The sequence below is a fragment of the Homo sapiens genome, chromosome 3, assembly GCF_000001405.40.
Source record: "Homo sapiens chromosome 3, GRCh38.p14 Primary Assembly".
NCBI lineage: Eukaryota > Metazoa > Chordata > Mammalia > Primates > Hominidae > Homo > Homo sapiens.
In genome coordinates this window covers 114,717,113-114,737,622 of record NC_000003.12, presented here as the reverse complement: position 1 = coordinate 114,737,622, position 20,510 = coordinate 114,717,113, and the positions used below count along the sequence as shown (strand labels likewise).

The window sequence follows — 20,510 nt, the reverse complement described above, 5'->3', positions numbered from 1 at the left end:
CACATTTTGAATAATCTCATAGAAGTTATCCGTGTAGATTCTGAAGAAAATTCTTCATTTGCTATTCCCATGAATAGCAGTTTTGGTTCTGTTTAGTTGTATTTTCATTTTAACACTCTAGAGAGCTTCTTTGACTTGTGTTAAGCTTGCTTGTTCCATTTCAGTTGGGTTTGTTCATGCTGTCTTGATAGTTTATTCTATCAGGCATGATGTTACTTTACCGTCTCAATCCCTTGGCAGTATTTTTGTTTTTAGTTTTTAACTGAATTTAATGCTCTTGAAAATAGAGAGGTGGGTCCATATCTAGAAAAAAAAGGCAAAAAGTTAGACATCTCCATTCATCTTTACAGTAAACCAAATTTTCAAAAAAATGTTTCTCTACATTAAATATATTTCAAACAACTAAGTCTTTAGAGTTCTATTTAAATAAAAACACAAACTTTTGTGTCATAGACTACTTGGGCCCTATATATCTCAACATGGGTTCTAATATTAATTCATCTTGTCCATAGATTTGTAACTTTGGCTCTTAAAATATATTCTCTTCTAACTATTGCAATAATCACTAAGCATTTGGTAAGTGTATCTATAGTGGTATACCCAGAGATGGTGTCCCCTCAGTGCAGGTTATACAATAAAGAAATCAAACTCGGTAAAGATTTTCATTTTATTTCTCATTCTTTTCTTATCTGTAGCTCCCATTTGATCAGGGAACATAACTCCTTTCAGTATTGCTGTCTTATCCAAATTTTCATCCAGAAGTGACTTGCTTGGCCTCTGTAGTCTTCAGAGGCTGTTCATAAAGCTTGGGTTTCCCTTGTAAATCATGTAAGTTTCATGGCCCTCCAGTGTTTTTTGTTTGTTTCTTTGGGGCTCACTGATTCCCACCATGTACATCCATTTCACAGCTGCTGTCATCAGCTGTTCTCCCTCTGTGTGATTTATTTTTAATAACATCCCTTTATGCCCAATTTTGATAACCATTAGTCCCAGTAAATTCTCTTATGTTTAGTCCTTACTTGAATTTTACTTTTTAAACCACTGAGTTAGAACAAGAAAACAGCATAAGCAGTGACAGAAAACCAAATGCAGAACTACCAAAATGAACGCCTACAATCCTATCTGATGAATGAGGCAGAAATGAAGAGATTGCTCAGAGAACATTCTGGAATAAAAGAAAAAGAAACCTCAATAGAACATCATTCCAGAAGGGAAGAAAATATAGTCAGTAAGTTATGAATAAAATCAAGTCATATTAAAAAAATAACCAAAAGAAAGCAACCGGCTTTTAGATATTTTTTAATTACAGTTAATATTTACTGAGAGCTTTTTATGTGCCAGGCAACATGCTAAGCAACATTCATTCATCATTTCATTTATTCATTGATTTCTTGCTAGAAATTCATGACAATAGAACCTCTACTATTTCCTTCATTTTACAGAAGTGAAAACTGAAGTTTAGTTTAACTAAATTATCCAAGGTCACACAGCCAGGAATGTGGAGCTAGAATGGAAACTCCGGTGTATCCTTTACCTTTATACTGTGATAACTTTCAAATGACAGCCTTTAAAAATAAACAAATACATAAATAATTCTGGTTTGACTACTCTACATAAACATCATGAAAGGCCTCATTCAATCAACTCTTGACTTATACTTAAGTGTTATAAATACTTGAAACGTTACCATCATAGAGTGTAGTTCAGGTTTTGGAAAATGGATCTTTCCCCAGGTTTGCTAGTTTTATTCTCTGTAGTGGTGAGAATCCTTTTTGGCTCACTCTGTTCCTAACTATAAGTAATGTTGGTTAATATTAAGAAAAAAATCTTCTGAAGTCTTTCAATATAATATATTTTGATTGAAAAATAAATGAGTATGTATCTGTAAGTTATACAATTATTATAAACAAGATGAGCTGCTTAGATAATTAAAGAGGTTTCCATTGACTTATTTCTTGGTTATCAACTGGTTATATTTTAAACTAATATATTAAATTCTGATAATCTAGAACTTTGAGGGTGATAAATTTCATGTACTGGATAAGTTTAAGGCAACGTGACTTCTTTTGATGTATGATGGTTTCATGATAAATAAGCTATTCCTCAGTATAAAAATACTGTTCTTAAGCCTGAAGGAATAGTGGCCCATATATAAAATCTAGTTTGGGCCCAATGCATCTGCTGTATACAGTGGTCTAAGCCAGCAAGTTGATAAATTCAGAAACTGAGCAGCCTGGAGCCATATGAGATTCATACTGCCTTGAGTTGCAGGATACATATATATTATTTGATCCAGACATTTTTCATATTTCTTTTAAACAAGCAGAATCCTCTTTTCAAACTAAATCTTATTAGAAACTTAACATATGGAATAATGAGTAATATTTTATTGAGATAAACTCATTTTCAAATTCAGATTATTTATCATATTGAATATTATAAAGTCATTCAATAAGAATATAATGGCAAATATACAAAGGAATAAAAACTCAGCATTGGATTATTGTATTGGCTCAAAAATCAATGTATTTTTGTATGGGGAATATAGCAGATACTCAAATAACATGGTGTCATAACGCTGATGGGAAAAAAAAAAAAGAACTATTCCCAGTGAGCCACTGTGTGTGTAGAGTTGGCACTTTCTCCCCATATCTGCATAAGTTTTCTCTGGGTAGTGGGTTTTCTCCCACATCCCAAAGATGTGCGTGTTAGGCTCATGGGTGTGTCTGAGTGAATGTGGCTGTGTGTGAGTGCCCCCTAAGATAGAATGGCATCCTGTCTAGGCTTGGTTCCCACCTTACCAGTCCCTGAGCTGCTGAGATAGGCTCCATCCACTCATGACCCTGAACTGGAATTATTGATTAAATAATTATCTTACTTTTATTAATCTTTCTTAAATGTATGTACAGCTCACATTTATTTCTTGCTTTTATTAATCTTTCTTAAATGCATGTACAGCTCACATTTATTTCAATGTTTAATATCAAAAGTGTTTTGATCTTTATTTAGAAACTTGATGATGTTTCTGTGACCCAAAATTTGCCATAAGAACTTAACTCTTATTTATATCAATTAGTCTATGGTAAAATTGCTTTCATTATATGTTGTTTCACTTAAAATCACAGTTTCCAAGAACCTATGGATGGCAATAAGTGAAGACTTTCTGTACTATACTATATGGTATCAAAAAAATCATGAGACTGATAAGTAGTTGCATATTGTAACAGTTTTTTTCAACAGCTTGTATTCCAATCTGAGAGCCTTAATTAGAGGCCTGCATGAAAGCTGCTTATTCTTATTGTACATAATTAACTTGTAATAACACATTGGTCTCCAGTGTTTTTTAAATTTATATAATACATTTAAATTTGCATGTCATTTTTATCACAATTGCAAATTGATATATATGTATTTACTACATATTATATATGTATTTATTTTTTTATTTATTTATATCTATTTGATAATCTTTTTGTAATCATCTCTTTGTAAGTCTGGGGACCATGAAGCATAGTTTGAAAACCACAAATTTGGTTCAAACAATTTTTAGGAAATAACTATCTTTTCTTTTTCTGATCCTCTATTAGGTAAGAGACAATTTAACTTTTTGGGGATACCGTATCTTGTGGGTTTTGGTATATGTGAATCATTTATTCTTCTAAAGCTAAAGCTACTGAAGGAAAAGGACTTTGTTTTTATTTTTGTTTTGGTTTGTTTCCTCCAGGAGCCTAAAATTCCGTATTGTACATAGACAGTCCAGGCCATCTAGTTACTCTATGTGTACATCAGAAAACTTGAAAGAGGAGTCCAAATATCAGTCTCAGTCCTTTCTTCTACCCTTCCATGCTTCTACTACTACCTCTACATGATGCCGTTGATAGCAAAAGCAATCCAATGTATATCAAAATGTCATGTTTACCCTACATATATACAATTTTTATAAAGCAACCTAGTTAATTCTCTTGGCTTCTAGTTTTGGAAGCTCCCAAGATGAAGGAGGGTGAGAGGGCATAGAGGTAGAAAAGAGGTAGAAAAGTGTAATTAAATGCTAGTGTAGACAGGACAGAAGGAAGCAAGATAGTCCTGGCACCACTAGTGCCTTCTCTAGAAAACTTTCAAGTCTATAAAAGAATGACCAAAAATCAGAATCAACTGTCTGGGCCACAGATGAAAAATCAGATCAAATAGAGAATGTGGTATTAGCTGTGACACCAACCAAATCACATTAGAGCAACCGGAACTAGAAAAACTTGTGCAGAAGCAGGCACACTCTGCAGCTTTTCAGCCTTCTGTCAGGCGTTGGGTATCCAGGTAGGCTTAGGCATTGGAGAACTACCTGTTATGAAAGTCAAGCCTTATTGAGACTCCTGCATGATGAGCCAGTGAGGAAATGAGAGCAAATATAGTATGCTGTGAATTCATAGAACCCGTAAGTCTGTTTCTATAAATGGGTAACATTTCCTACTAACTTATGTGGAAAAATCATTTTTATAATATATGTGTTTACATTAAACCAATAAAATGTCTTGTGTATGTTGGAACATTTTGCTTTTATGTCTGGTAGACCATTTACCTCCTCTTCAGTGTCTGTTGGAACATTTATTTTATATTCTCTATTTCATTCCTGTTGGAGCATTTATGTATGATTTGTTTGTTACTTTTATCTGTTGATCTTGCCCTCCCCATATGCTCATGTCTGACTGGCCTAGTTTCCCACATTCAGTGTGTGATCTCTAGCCCTTCTTAAATATTAATTAGTGTAATTGAATTCCCTCCAGTATTTCTAACCTCAGGCACCTGAATCTCAGTGTTTTTATTAGAACTGATTTGTGCATTTAAAGTCCAACCTGCATCCCCATCCCCCACTGCCCAAGCAACTTTTCTTGATTAGGTAAAGGTCGTGGCTATGTGCATGCCTCAGAGAAAGTCTTCATGGGAAAATAAAGGCATTATATATCACAACCTTTCTCAGTTAAAGACTGAAAAATACAAAGCTGTCTTGAATCTTTGGCAAAGGAAGTCACCCAGAATGAATAGGAAAAGGATGTAGCCTTCCCCAGGAGTACTGCCAGAAGTGAAATAGAAAAGCCATGCAGAGCCCTGTGTGGAGATGAGAGCAAAGCCTCACCTAATCATAGTACATTTTCCTCTACGGGCACAGTCAGGGACTCTAGGACAACACTTTGTATAAATCTTCTCAGTTGTTCCAGTTTGCAGGTCTATCTCTGACCAACATACCGTTCATGATTAAACATGAGTGACTCTTTCCTTGGAAGATAACAGGAAAAAAAGGAAAAGGAGAAGAGCCTAAAAATAGGGATAGAGAACCATATACTCATGAGAGGATTTGTCAATGAGATAGTCAATTACTACCATCCATGTTTGAGGAGAAGAGAAACAATGTTAGATAACTAGAGATGTGGAAATCTTCTGATTTACAGAAAGTATAGAAAGGCAATTTATGATGATGCAACTACTTGCTGTTAGTCCTGAGCAACAGTCTAGAATGGATTATTAAAGCAATAAAGTATAAAACAATGTATCATGATCCACTGAAAGAAGTGGTGCTTGCTAGACAATAGAATGGCTTCAGTAAAATGATGTCTACAATATGTGATCTGATATCTCCTGGGTTAGATATATAGACAGATTAGTAACTAATCTAGGCACAGCCAGATTAGTAACTAATCTAGGCACAGCCGGATTAGTAACTAATCTAGGCACAGCCGGATTAGTTACTAATCTAGGCACAGCCGGATTAGTTACTAAACTAGGCACAGCCGGATTAGTTACTAATCTAGGCACAGCCGGATTAGTTACTAATCTAGGCACAGCCGGATTAGTTACTAATCTAGGTACAGCCGGGTTAGTTACTAATCTAGGTACAGCCGGGTTAGTTACTAATCTAGGTACAGCCGGGTTAGTTACTAATCTAGGTACAGCTGGATTAGTAACTAATGTAGGTACAGCTGGATTAGTAACTGGTTGATTGACCACACTATTAGGTACAAACAAATGGCTCAATATCATAATATAGGGGATTCCTGTGGCATATTGCAAGGATATTTTCGGCCTTATCTTGGTCACAAGTTTTTTTCAATAACTGGAATGAAAACATATTCATTAGATTTGCAGATGACATGAGTCCAGATACATAGAAAAGTTGTTGAATGAAGTAATCGAATTCCAAAGACATTGAAAGACTGGAATTATGGGCTACATCTAACAGATGAAATTTTCTAAATGGATAAATGCAAGATATTGCCTTTATATTTTAAAAAGACTAGTCATGAATGACGTAGCAGAGATATGACTTTCCAACCCAGTACAAGAAATTTAAATAGATAGGAACATCTTCAGGTATAAGTGGCCAGAATGGTAGGGAACTGAAACATGTGATATGAGCAATGGTTAAGGGAACCGGGATTAACAGGAAATTCAGGAGGAAGGAATGTAATAACTATCTTCAAGTATATGAATGACAGTCATCTAAAAGATAAATTATGTTGCTTTCTGTTACTCCAACAAATAGACCATCAGCCAGTGATGAAACCTACAAGAATAAAATACTCAAGTCAATATGAAACACTAACTTTGTAGCAGCCTTCTGTGTTCAAAGGTAAAAAATAGGAGGGTAAAAAATAATATGGAAGATAGACCTAGATTAAATCTCAGTTATGCCACTTATTGAATCCTTGTCTCTTGGGACATTTCTTGAATGTTCCATAGTCTGTTTCTATACCTATAAATTGGCTTTAAGTAATTCCTTCCTTACAGGTTGTGATGAGATAGGCACCATATAGGCACTGATACAGGCACCATATCAGTCTGTAGGCCTACCATAACAAAATACCACAAGGTGGGTGGACTAGCAAACAGAAATTGGTTTCTCACAACTCTGGAGGCTAGAAGTCCAATACTGAGGTGTCATCAGGTTTGGTTTTTCCTGAGGCCTCTGTCTTTGGCTGCAGATAGCCTTCTGCTGCTGTGTCCTTACACAGCCTTTTCTTTGTGAGCTCAAGAGAACCTCTGATGTCTCTTCCTGTCCTTATAAGGACGCCAGTCCTAGTGGATTAGAGTGCCAACCTTATGACCTCATTAAACCTTAATTACTTCTTCAAAGGCCTTATCTCCAAATACAGTTGGTAGGAGCTTAGGGCTTCACCCTATGTATTTTAGGGGACACAATCAGCCCATAACATTGCCTAATATCCACAAATCCTAGTTTCCTAAGACCAAGGTGTTTAAGCATAGACAGCTACCTTACAGGGATATTTTGCAGGATACTGAAGCCATAACCCATTTATGCCTAGTGTTCCACTATTGGAATGCTAAGCTTGTGGCAGTTATGTATATCCTGTTGCTCAAGGTCATCACCAAGTTCTGATTTTTCACACATACACACACACACACACACAAAATTGCAACATTTGGCATAAATGGGTTAAACAGATGATTGTCATATATAATTTTAATGGACTCTGCTAACACTGATATTCTGTCATTATAAAAATAAAATCTTTGGGGCCAGACACAGTAGCTCACACCTGTAATCCCAGCACCTTGGGAGGCCAAGGAGGGAGGATCACTTGAAGACAGGAGTTTGAGACAAGCTTGGGCCCCCAAGCAAAACCCTGTCTATACAAAAAAAAAAAAAAAAAAAAAATTAGCCGGATGTGTGATCCCAGCTACTCATGAGGCTAAGATGGGAGGATTGTTTGAGCCCAGGAGTTTGAGGCTGTAGTGAGCTATGGTCATGCCACCGCACTCCAGCTTGGGTGACAGAGTGAAACCCTGTCTCTAAAAAAAAAATTAAAAGAAAAGAAAATCCTACATATAGCATCAACTCTGAAATTCTGCAATTCTCTAAAAATCCTCGATAGCAAGGTAGTTGTTAAGGATATAAAGCAATTTTCTTTCAATAAATGTTTTCCTTTAGTATTCAAAAATTTAATATTATTGCACTAATATTTACTTACGTACTAGACCTCCCTTGATTTCTGCAGCCCAAATTCCCAAGATGGCTTCTAAGTGAAACCTCTGTCTCTTGTGAGAAGACACTGCTTTGTCAAACCTTTAAATGCCTCAGAAGATATATGTATAAAAGTAGAGGGAGAATATAATTATCTTAAAAACAAATTTAAGAAAACATAGCAACACCAACTACACAAGTAAATGCATGCATAAAGTAAAAATAAAAAGAGATAGGTTAATTTGTTCCAGAAGTTTCAAAGTCTCGATCTATAGCTTCGAGACTTTTTAATTCATAACAATTAATGGAAAATGCATTTTGTTAATACATCCATTGCTGTTATTCTCTATTTTACTATGCATATGTATTGCCTCTTATTTAGAAACTAATAGTTTAAGCTGAGACTATGCCAGAATCTAGCTATTAATGTTGGATAGTCTTTTAGTTTATCTTTCTTGCAAAGAGTATGTTAGTGAAAAATGGGACTGTGTTGTCTATTTTGGTGACAAATGGGACCGTGTTGTCTCTTGTGTCCATGGGTAGCTGGAGTCAGTTTTTTTATTTTTTATTTTTTTAATTTTAAGTTCTTGGGCACATGTGCAGGATGTGCAGGTTTGTTACAGAGGTAAACATGTGCCATGGTGGTTTGCTGCACCTATCAACCTGTCACCTAGGTATTAAGCTCCGCATGCATTATCTATTTTTCTTGATTCTCTCTGCCCCCACACTGCCCTCCCCTGAGGACATGAAAAGACACTTCTCAAAAGAAGACATACATGCAGCCAACAAACCTAAGAGAAAAAGCTCAACATCACTGATCATTAGAGAAATTGAGTGACTTTTAAAAGTCAGTATTCTACATGAATGAAATAACACATTCTCTCTCTTATTCTCTTGACAGACTAAGTCATGTTAAAAAGATGCACGTCTTCTCAAGGAGTATGTGCTTTCTTTCAGTCTAACTAAAAACAGAAAACCTGACCACTATTCACGGTTTTATTTCTTGGCAATGAAATAGCCTCCTCTTGAGAGGGGCAGTTACTGTAACTAGACGATGGTTACAACTGAGAGTTTAGTCTATGGTCTGATGGAAAGACCATTACATCTTGAGCTGCATTATCTGCATTCAAGTTCTAGCTCTTCCATTTTTTTACTTTGGGCAGTTAACAAATTCTCCAAGCCTATCCATGTTATGTAAAACTTTATTTGGACTTCTTTCCAGGTCTGCACAGTTTGACCCAATGTGGATATTTAATAAAGATTAATTTATGTCCTTTTTCTCTGATCCTTAATTCTTTCACCTTCTAATGGGTATACTATTAATACTTTCTCTACTTACCTACCCCACAGGATTTTTGAGACAATCAAATAACACGTTTGTGAGAATAATTTATAAACTGTAAAACACCATACAAATGCATTTCTCCTTCTTATGAGTGTTACGAGTGGATGGGGATGCTTAACTAGAAATTGAATTGGGACCTCCTAGGAATTTACATTGAAACTGTTTCCTAAGAGACATTAGAGGCCTCATGTTGTTGTCTATTTAAATTGCCTGACCTAATCTGTACAATGAAGATATTTAACAACAGGTATTAAATTTGATTGTCTATTTTTCTGTGGTATTTTCCAGGGAGCACAAGAAAGATTATTTCCTTTCCAATTTTTTTTTCCTGTATTATTGGGCTGCTGTCTGTTCTCAAATATACTGAGACAAATTCTTATCCTTTGTAACTATGGGGATCTGGGCCCATGGTGCTTACTATCATTATTTCTGTTGTATTTGTGGTAATTATTGTTATTATTATTAATTATACTTTGTAATTATATAGCTTCTTATTTTAAGGAAAGATAAATTGCTAGAAAATAAACAAGCTCCTGTTCTTTAGAGATTTTTGGAGTTTTGAACATTTTAAATCCAATTTTGACCTTTTTTCACAAAGATTTCTACATGAATCTTCAAACACAACATGTTTTTTGTCTGCCATCAAAAATAAAGTACTGACTTGTGAGATACTGCCCTCGAAGTTATGCATGAGAAAATAGTCTCTCAGAGCATTTCATTTCCTCTTTCTGCCTTTTAAATGATTTCTTACAGTATAGTTACCACATAGTGGAAGTTTGTTTTGGAGAAAGATTTTGAAGCAGAAGGTGGAGATGCTTAAACAGTGGCCCATGCCTAGGTAGAAAGTTCTCATTGCCCCTGCTTGCTTCTGACTGCCTTTTGAAGAAAAGAAAAAGGTGAACCAAGGTGAGATGATATTAGTTTGTGGATTAAGGGGCAGGCAGTTAAGTGCAGCCCAAGTACAAAATGTTCAACATGAAACTGACAGAGGCTTTTTGGAATAAAAATTCCACCTTCTTTCTTTAGTCTCTTGGGTCTGTTATTTTGAATTCTTGAATATCCTTAATAGTGATTAAGTTGTCTTCAAGTTTCCAGGTTGGTGGGCCTGGGCTCCTTTTGATCATGGGCCTCTTCATTCCCACAGTTAAGGACCTGAACCCAATAGAGGGATTAGAAAGCCAAAGAAGAATTTTGATCCCTAGGTAATCTTCATGTAGGTTTCTCTATGTGTTGGTATGAAAGGGAGGGTGAAATTTTATAGGAAATAAAGAGGGCTATTCCATTATATGGTGACTTTAGGAAATAGTCGTCCAACTCTTTCTTATCCATGAAACTCTTCATCCAACTCTTCTCTTATCTCACTGACTTTTTTTTTTTTTTTTTTTTTTTTTTTTGTGATGGAGTCTCTCTCTCTTGCCCAGGCTGGAGTGCAGTGGCACAATCTCGGCTCACTATAACCTCTGCCTCCCAGGTTCAAGCAATTATCCTGCCTCAGCCTCCTGAGCAGCGGGGACTACAGGTGCCTGCCACCATGCCTGGCTAAATTTTTGTATTTTTAGTAGAGACGGGGTTTCACCATGTTAGCCAGGATGATCATGATTTCCTGACCTCGTGATCCGCCCACCTTGGCCTCCCAAAGTGCTGGGATTACAGGCATGAGCCACCGCGCCCGGCCTATCTCACTGTCTTCTAAAGCAGTGGTTCTCCAAGTGACCAGCAGCATTAGCATTACCTAGGAATATGTTAGAAATGCAGATTCTTAGGCCTCACTTTCCCCTACTGAATAAGAAACTTTGAGGTGGAACACAGCAATTTGTATTTGAACAAGCACTTCAGGTAATTCTGATGCATACTAAAATTTGAGAACCACTGATCTAAAGAGATATTGAATTCCACTGAGAAAATATTTTGACAATTAAAAATTCTACCAGAAACTACAAGTGATTTTTGGAATCCAGAACCCTCTGTTGTTCTACTTCAAATTTATCTTTATGGCTTCATCCTAAACTGTTTTTTTTAACAGTCGTTAAACACTTTTTAACTTTGACCTGCGATTCATATCAAAACACCCCACCCTGTCTAAAATGATCTTTGTTCCTCTGTCTAGCCAAATCCTCTCTCTCCTGCATTATCCATTCAAATGTCTCTTCCTCACAAAACCCTTACCAGTCATGCCAGCATTCTCTCAGTTTTGGCTCCCTGTAACTCTCAGTGCCTGTACCATTCACCTTTTACCGGTTACATAGTCTTATCTGTGATATATCTTGTGTTACTAAAATAAACTGTCAACTATTATAATAAATAATAGGTTACATTTATTCAGTACCCACTGTGGTCACCACAACCCCCTCAGTGAGTTACTGTGCCTGACTTTTGCAGATCTTCGGTAGCTTACCCTGCCTCACACAGTATGTACTAAAAAGATTCTCCTTCAGCCTTACACTTGGCCACTAGCCTATATTGTTGTATAATGCTGAAAAACTTTTCTCATGTTGATGCCTTATTTTCTCCCCAGCTCAATTTTATGTTCAACTGCAATTAGAGACCATAATTCTCCTGTTATTTGTTACACAATAACTTTTAGAATATAGAGAGTTAATGCACATTTGTTGGTATATTGTATTAGAAACTCTAAACACATTTCTGGGATTTCGCTGATTGGGAATGAAAATGTTTAAATTTCTCCTTAGATCCAGAACAGTCTCCATGTGTAAGTTGAGTATATTCATTTTAGCGAAGTAATCAATTGCATTTAAAATATTCAACTCACAATTATATATTGACTTTCATTATCAATTTCGATTAATGCGTTTTGAAAATACTTTATTCTACAATGCATTTAGAGGAGGAAATAGCTGCTTTTGTTTATTCAAGGAATTTACCAATTTTATGAAACCTGTTTATTATTTTGTAAGAAGAAAATGGATGAGTCGATAGCAAATCTGACCCTTGTCTGTATACTTACATGTACCCAGTAGTGATGAAAAGAGATGAAGATAATGTTAGTGGCTAAATGATAATTGTTGAGAAGGCATATTTAATTGAAGAGAAATAGATTTTTTAACTCTGTGTGCATAAATATACTCTATAAACATTTTGTATTTGCACATGGTTTAAACTCATCTAACTGAATTCTGACTTAAGGAATAGAAAGCATGGTCTCTTCCAGGTCAAGCCACACTGTAGTTATTTGGGGGATAAATGCTTGGCTAATTTATATTCCTTTATAACTGTCTTTATTAAAGTGAAGACCCTTGACCCTGAGTCAGAATCACCTGGATGGTTCCTAGACTCCACTCCTACAAACTGAATCAGAATCTCTGGGATTGGAGCCCAGAAATTTGCATTTTTAATGATCATTTCCAGGTGATCATTAAAATAAAATTGTATTTTATAAAATTTATTTAATAAAATGTATTTTATTTTATGGCTCAATTAAATGTGAAAGCCATTCCTATTTGGACTCACTCTCTTTTTCTTTGGCAAATCAAATCTTCCAGAAAACTGATCTGTGAGTCACCAAACTGATAGTTGTTAAGCATAGAGTCTCAGTGACAACCTTAAAAGTGACTATTGCAATTTCCTTCAATAGACTTAATTTATTGAGTTCTGATACTTTTGTGTGCCAGGCATTCTAGTTAATTATCTAAATTAATTAATATAAAACCTAAATAGCTCTTTGAGATACATATTCTGGGCCGCATTTTAAAGAAGGGATAATTAAGGCTTAGAGAAGTAAATATCTAGGCCACCCAACTAGTAGTTGAATTCAGTTTGACCCTAGAACGTGTATTCTTAAACTCTGAAACAGAACTGAAAACAGAATTTGAAATAAAGTCTTCTAAATTCTGCCTCTCTTTCTAAAAAGGCAGCTGAATAGAGAAGGGGTTAAAATAGATGACAGCTAATTCCAAGTTTATGTCCAAACTCTGAGATTCTATGATGTTAGTCAACTGTCATCTTAAATTATATGGTTGGTAGCTATAGTGTTACCATGTGATGAGCTCAATCAGTAAACCATCACCTTCAATGTTATCAGAGAGAACAATGGAAGCCCCATCAACAGTTACCTGTCTGTTTTTACAGTCTTCCTTTTCCTCTACTTCCCTTAAGAAACCCAAGTATATCTTTGGGAGGCCGAGCGGTGGCTCACACCTGTAATCCCAGCACTTTGGGAGGCCGAGGTGGGCGGATCATGAGGTCAGGAGATCGAGACCATCCTGGCTAACACGGTGAAACCCCGTCTCTACTAAAAATACAAAAAAAAAAATTAGCCGGGCTCGGTGGTGGGCGCCTGTAGTCCCAGCTACTCGGGAGGCTGAGGAAGGAGAATGGCGTGAACCCGGGAGGCGGAGCTTGTAGTGAGCCAAGATAGCGCCACTGCAGTCCTGCCTGGGCAAAAGAGTGAGACTCCGTCTAAGAAAAAAAAAAGAAAAGAAGGAAAGAAACCCAAGTATATCTTTTTCTATGCAAAGGCTACTGGAATAAGCTTTTTATTATTTTATTGAGAGATCTCTCACAATAATGTGAGGCTAATTTCTCTGAACAATGGCTTGTTTTAATAAATATTTTGCAAATACAGCTAATACACTGTGTGGCTGACTCTGGTCCTCAACTCTAGCTGCACATTCAAATCACTTATGGAGTTCAAGAATATATAAAATCTTGTGTCTAAAACCTAGAGATTCCGATCTGTGAGTGTGGCCTGGAGTGGAGGCTGGAGGCTGATTTTTTACAGAGCTTCACAGGTCCTTCTATGGACACCCAGGATTGAGAATCAGTGATCCAACTCATACTTGTTAAAGAATTTGGTGATATCATATGCATTACAAGAGTGATTGAATGAAACAAAATCTCTATATAAGTCCCAGAATGAGTCCTTTAAAATAAAAGTAGAACCTTTGAGCCTCTGAAAAGCTGTCGCTTGGGCCATCCAAATATTCATATTGAGTCTCAGATAATGAAAAGTCACAAAATTAGAAGCCATTAGAGCATGGTGTTAAGTGGAATTATGGAAAACCATTTGTAAAATGCTGTGGGGTTTGGAAGGACCTGATTTTTTTCACAGACATTTTTGTAATAGAAAACAAGGTAGTGGAAATGGCAGCATATTTGAATCTATTTGCATTTCCTTATCAAAAAAAAAAGTAAAATAAAAGGGAAGGGTATAACCTTGCAAATGTATCTTGATCTGATATTATTTTTGCAAGTTAGACAGATTTGGGGACACCAGTCAGCCAGATTCAGGGCTAGCTATCAAATCAGAGCTCACTCTTCAAATCCCAGCATTAATAGGAATGATAAAGAGCTACGTTTCGATTAATCCTGCCCTGGACTTTAGACGAAAGAAACTGCAGTTTAATTACTGAGTGAAATTCACTTCATCTGATCTGCCTGTCTTTGCTATAATGTCATAATATAATCAGCATCACCCCCACCTGAAACAGAGCTGTGAAGTCCAAGGACCTGTTTGATTGGAAGAAATAAAATGATGCCCAGACAACAACCAGCCACAGTGCAGTAATTACTCAAACCTTGTTTTCATCGGTATGTCATTCTCTCATTGGCTTGTCATGACAGCAACTGAGAAAAGGATGGAAGAGAGTGTGATTGAAAAGGAGTCTGACCTGATGGAAGCAGACTAGGTGTGGGAGGGAAGAGCCAAGCTGTATAAAATCTTAAGGGTAATTAAACTTGTTTTTTTCTTTAATATGTATCCCACTGGCTGCTACTGATTTCTCAAGTCCAAGTTAAACCATTCAACTGATCTATCTCCCTGCAATTAAAATCTCTTCTTCAGTTGAAATTATAGTTTTTACTTTCAAAATAATTTATTTTCCTTTTGTAACTGGAATTTATTTGGCAGATTTTTTTTCTTAGGTCTTCATGTGGTTTTGTAAGTTAAACAAAGAGAAAGGGGTTGCAGATTTTCTTCTGTCAGAGGTAACAGCCTTTGGGAGCATTCCTTACTAGGTTTGCATACACCCATTGCCTTTATATAAAACCACTGAATCCAGTAAGGTAGCTAGCTTTCCTATGAATTATTACCCCATATTACACAAAATGTTTAAAGTAACTTTCTGTATGTCATGTAGTTAGAAAGGGCCCTGAGCCAGGATATGAACCAATATTTGTCTGACTCTGGGTCATACTCTTTTGACTTTTACACCCTCCACTCCCTTATTCTCACTTATTACAATTAATACTTCTCCAGTTGACTCATTCATCATGTTATTGTTGGGCATCCCCTATATGCGAAGAACTGTGCTATACTCCAGATATACATTAGTGAAACTAGAAAGAAGAATCATTTTCAAAGAGCTTTCCGGTTTGGTGGTTCAGTTGCTTCTGTGGCTTTTATTGTAAATTGATACTTTAAGTCCAAAAAGCAATTGGACCATTAGGAACAAATGTACAATGTGAAGTCAAGAAGATCTTCTTTATTTCCTTCTTTTTATTCATAATATAACCCAAAAATCTCAGAATTGAGAATCCCAAGAATCCCACGAATTTATTGCTCATATGTAGTCAGTCATCAAATTATATCAAATCTTGTCATATATAATCCACCAAAAGATCCCTTGTACCTAGGAAAAACAGTAAGTGTGGGGGTTAGGAGAACAGGCTCTGGAGTCAGATTGCCTGGGTTTGAATCCAGGCTTCACCACTTACTAACTGCATAACCTTGAAAAAGTTGCTTAATCCTTATCTGTAAAATGGAAACAATAAAGTTACTTACCTCTTAGGGTTAGCATGGAGATTAATGGGTTAATCTACATAAAGCACATAGTTCGGTGCCTGGCACAGAGTAGAACTTTAGTAAATATTGTTATTTTTTCCTCCACAATGTCTCTAGAACATGTTATTTCCTGTACATTTCTGCTGACACTACCGAAGTCAGATATTTATCACATAGTACCTGGGTTGTTGCAGTGGATCACTTCTCATTCTCTTGCTCTCACAAGCTCGCACTCTCTCTCTTTCTCTCTCATTACCTTTATGCTCTCCCTGTTTCAGTTTTTTCTGTCCACCATTCCCAATTATTTATACTAGAATATCACTGTGACCATGCCAGTGTCCTACTTTACAAGCCTTTAATAGACCTCTTGTGTTCACAGAATAAAGTGGACTACTCAGCCCATTATTCAAGGACCCCGTTTCGCATTCCACACTCAACCCATCTTTCCAGCATTGTTTCCTATTACAATTCCAACTAACTTGTTTATTTGCTGCTCCCAAATACATATCTCAATTTTCTGCTTCCATGCTTTCTCTCATGCCCTTCACACAACTTGAAATGTCTTATCACCTCCCAAATCTTACATGTTTTTCAAAGTATAACTAGATTTGTTCATCATACTGAAGCTTTCCTTTGTCAGCCTACATATCAGTGATGATTTTCTCTCTAAACCCCTATTCTGAATATCTGAATTTTATTGCATAATAATTCCTTCTGGGCATTATCCCAACAAATAGATATTAAATATGTCAGGCACAGGTCAGTGTCTCCATACACATCATTATTTACCCAATAGCATCTATCAAAGAAAATCAAACATAGATATACAATTAGTATATGCCAAATGAATACATGGTCTGAATTGGAAGTTTCTTTCCTTGTTCTAAACACTTTTTTTCCAAAAAAGTTACTCCAAATTTAGCCCTTTATTTCTACTGATTTTCTAAACTTCCTTTTGAATTATTTTGATGTCTCCCTCCTTAATCCTCTCCAAAAATCACTCTTATAATGCCTTTACATTTCCACAGTCATCATGCTGCTTTCTTACTTGGCATGTGGATATGGATAACCAGGCTACTAATGGATTCTATTTCCTCTGTTCAGGTTTATTCTGCACCAGTTACGTCAATGGTAGAGTAATACTTGCATGTCTATAGAACAGAAATTATAGAACCCACCCTTTTTACTTTTTGTGGTTGTCAGGAAAGCAAAAGATATTTTATGCAAAAATATTTTATAAACTGCAAAAAGCTTTACAAGTACGAGGTGTCATCTATATTTAGATAATATATTTAGATATATATTTAAATAATATATTTAGATAATAGAGACTACACCTTGTACTTGTACTTTTCCAATAAGCATGTATTCATGTACTAGATGTATAAGAAAAATATCAAAAGTAATATATGATAAGCTATATCATATTTCTTGAATATAAACAATATATACATATTATACACAATATATACATATATACATTATATATATTATATATGTAAGAATTATTTCTCCTACATTTCTATATCTTCCCTTTTTTCATTCAATCCTACACCTCTCTTGAGAAACTTGCATTATTTGGCCTCATTATTTCTTTAGATCTGCCGGGCAAATGGGAGTCTTCCTTGAAAGCTACTCACTGGGAGGATTTTTTTAATGACTTCCTTAAAAATCAGCAAGCAGGACTGATCTGATATTTGACATACTGACAGGAAGAATCTTAACAGTTTCTAACCTTCCTAAAACAGCATTAAAATACATCAGCTTTACCCTGTACCTCAGATATCAAGATTGTGCGAATTCTCTGGCCATGTGGATTTTCTTGACATTTTTTAGTCAAAATCCTAACCAGAGAACAATATTTGTAGTTCAGCAATTCCGGTACAGAAAAGCCTTCTGACTTAGTCTACTGCTGGTTCCAACTTTTTCTTACGTGATATGGTTCTGTTAATCAGGGAGAGAATTGATGGACAGTTAGATAAAGGCTTAGAACTTGCAATCGGTGCCCCTAATAACCCAATACTGGAGGGAGACACTTCAGTTTTGTTTTATTGTTAGGAAACAGAAACAGGACAGGCAGAGCAGCCTTCATCCCATTATTTCTAGTGGAAGAGGGACCCCAGAATGTTCCTCATGATATTCAGTGGCAGGCAGGCAGTCCGCTCCAGCTAGCTTTGTGTTGGATCTTTTAGCTATGTCCATATCATTGAGGTTCAAACCTTTATTGCACCTGAATTCCTGTGGCCATTATCAATGGATTCATATCTCCATGAATTTTCTTTTCCTTAAGGTCTCACCTCATTGTTTTATGTTTTGATATTATGATAAGCAGCAGGTGTCCTCCAGGCTCCCTTCTTGCTTCTATTTCCCCCCCCTGCACAACCCCCTGGACTTCCTACACATTATCCAGCTACCAAAATGCTCACTTTCCTGGCTGTGTTCCTCCTAAAGCAGCTAATCTTTACTTCTTCTTCCTGGCCTTTTGGCTCCTTCTGCTTGTGTGGAGTTTTGAGTTAAATTTTTCGAGTTAATATTTAACCTGTGAGATAACTGTTTACAAAATTGTTAGTTGATAATCAGGGATTTTTTTCCTGGATTAATATGGTTAAAGTTTAACTTAGTGGAACAGCTCACACACATACAAAATAATAAATACATATGTGTATAATTAAAGTATTAACTCTGGGAATTTTGCTACTATGTTCTCATGACCCAAAATGGAGTATTTGTTATAGTCTAGATAAAAGAAAAACCTTGGTTAAGAGTCTGGCAAGCTGACTCTGTGGAAGAATTTAAGCGGAAAAGGGAGCCAGAGTCTACTCCTAAGTGGCAAGTGGCAGGCAAGTGATAGAAACGTTCCTTTTTTTTCTTAAGAAAATGATCTTTATTCATGTTATTTTTATTATCACATTCAAAAGAAGTTATTGGGATTCTCTCCAAAAGTGGGTTTGGATATATTTTGGCTTTGATTATCCTTGTAATATCTTGCGATATTTTCTCGTGTCAGTGACCTTTTTATATGTCACAGCGCGTGGTTGTATCTTAGAGCCAGATGTGAGGAAAGCAATCCCTGTGTTCAGGTACTTCCCTCCACTCATGTTTGTAAGTCAGGAATGACTGTTTTTTCTCTTGAGATGAAAGTGAACTTTAACTCCATCTGACATCAGAAGATGGAGTACTGGTAGACTTAGAATATATCTTGTATTCTTAAAGGAAGTCTTCATGCTTTTGCTGTGGGTAGGGGGAACAACCTAACACAGAAAACATATTCAGGTTACTTTAGTTCACTTGGAAATGGTTTTCGTATTTACTTCTTGCCATGTAGACCTCAAAGAACAAGTGTTTGAAGAAACTGGGTGGAGCAATTAAGTGGATCTAGGTAAATGATCACTTATGAATTTTCAAAAGTAGTTCATAAATTTTGCCATGAGGTATGTGGAATAAAAAAGCTTCAAGCCAAACCAAGAATAAGATTTTCTACTCTTTTTTGTATATCAAAGTCATAAAATCAGACCATCAAAACATCTGACAGTCCACTGTTTTTCCAAATATACTGTGTTTATCCCAATTCAGAAATAAGAATGAATTGCTAGTAACAGATTTCAAATTTGATGAGGCTTAAATAGGCTTAAGTGCCCTGTAAGATAGTAGAGAAAGTTGAAAAGAGGGGTATCCCAAAAGATATTACAGTTTCGAGGAGGAAAAGAAGCGGTTATCCGTGTTAAATTGTTGCAAGAAGTTGAGTCAGATGAAAATTAAAATGTGACCATTGCATTTGGCAACAGTAGATATGGTAGAGTGGAACGGATAAAAGCCTGATTGGAATAGATTAAGAAAAGAATAGAAAGTGAAGATACGGTAATAACTAATACGGACAATTTTTCTAATACATTTTGTTATGAAAGGAAGAATCAAAATGGGGGGTGAACTGGAGGGAGTCTTGGGATCAAAAGAATAGCATATAAATATACACAAACATGGTAGGTTTTGTTTCTGTTTTTGTTTTCTTATGTGGCATTTTGTTTATCTGCCTCCCCAGTGGAAAAGCAACATGGACAAGAATCAAAGCCTCAAATCTCTAGTAGAAAGAGACATGGAAAAGGTAAAATCCATCTGGTAAAATGTAAAAGGGACTGGCTCAGATTCAACAGATCTTGGTCTACTTAAAGTTCTACTAGCTACTGGTAATGTGAACCTCAATAACCTTTCTGTGGCTATCAGTTTGCTTATTTATTGATAACGTCTAAAGTTCCTTTATGGTATTCTGTATCTATGAAAAAGGAAAAAAGCAGACACATTTCATAAACCTCTCTCTAGTAGAAATTAGTTTATATCATTCACAATTTTATTATTTAGAAAACACACACATCTTGTTAGTTAGCCCTCACAAGAATGCTATGAGGTAGGTGGTTAGATTGTTTTGTTTTAATGGAAAAGGAAACCAAGGCTCTGCA

General features: G+C 36.0%; 1 protein-coding gene across 15 annotated transcripts in view, besides 1 other annotated feature; it reads left to right on the top strand.

Moving 5' to 3' along the window:
• Positions 1 to 20,510, top strand: part of ZBTB20 (zinc finger and BTB domain containing 20) — an 832,789-nt gene that overhangs the window by 409,666 nt on the left and 402,613 nt on the right. The window lies entirely within an intron of this gene.
• Positions 9,944 to 9,993: a silencer, noted in NCBI's record as "silent region_14614". NCBI's record gives its function as "represses an Ori minimal core promoter by ATAC-STARR-seq in GM12878 lymphoblastoid cells {active_cell/tissue: GM12878}" and the evidence as "EXISTENCE:reporter gene assay evidence [ECO:0000049][PMID:35858748]".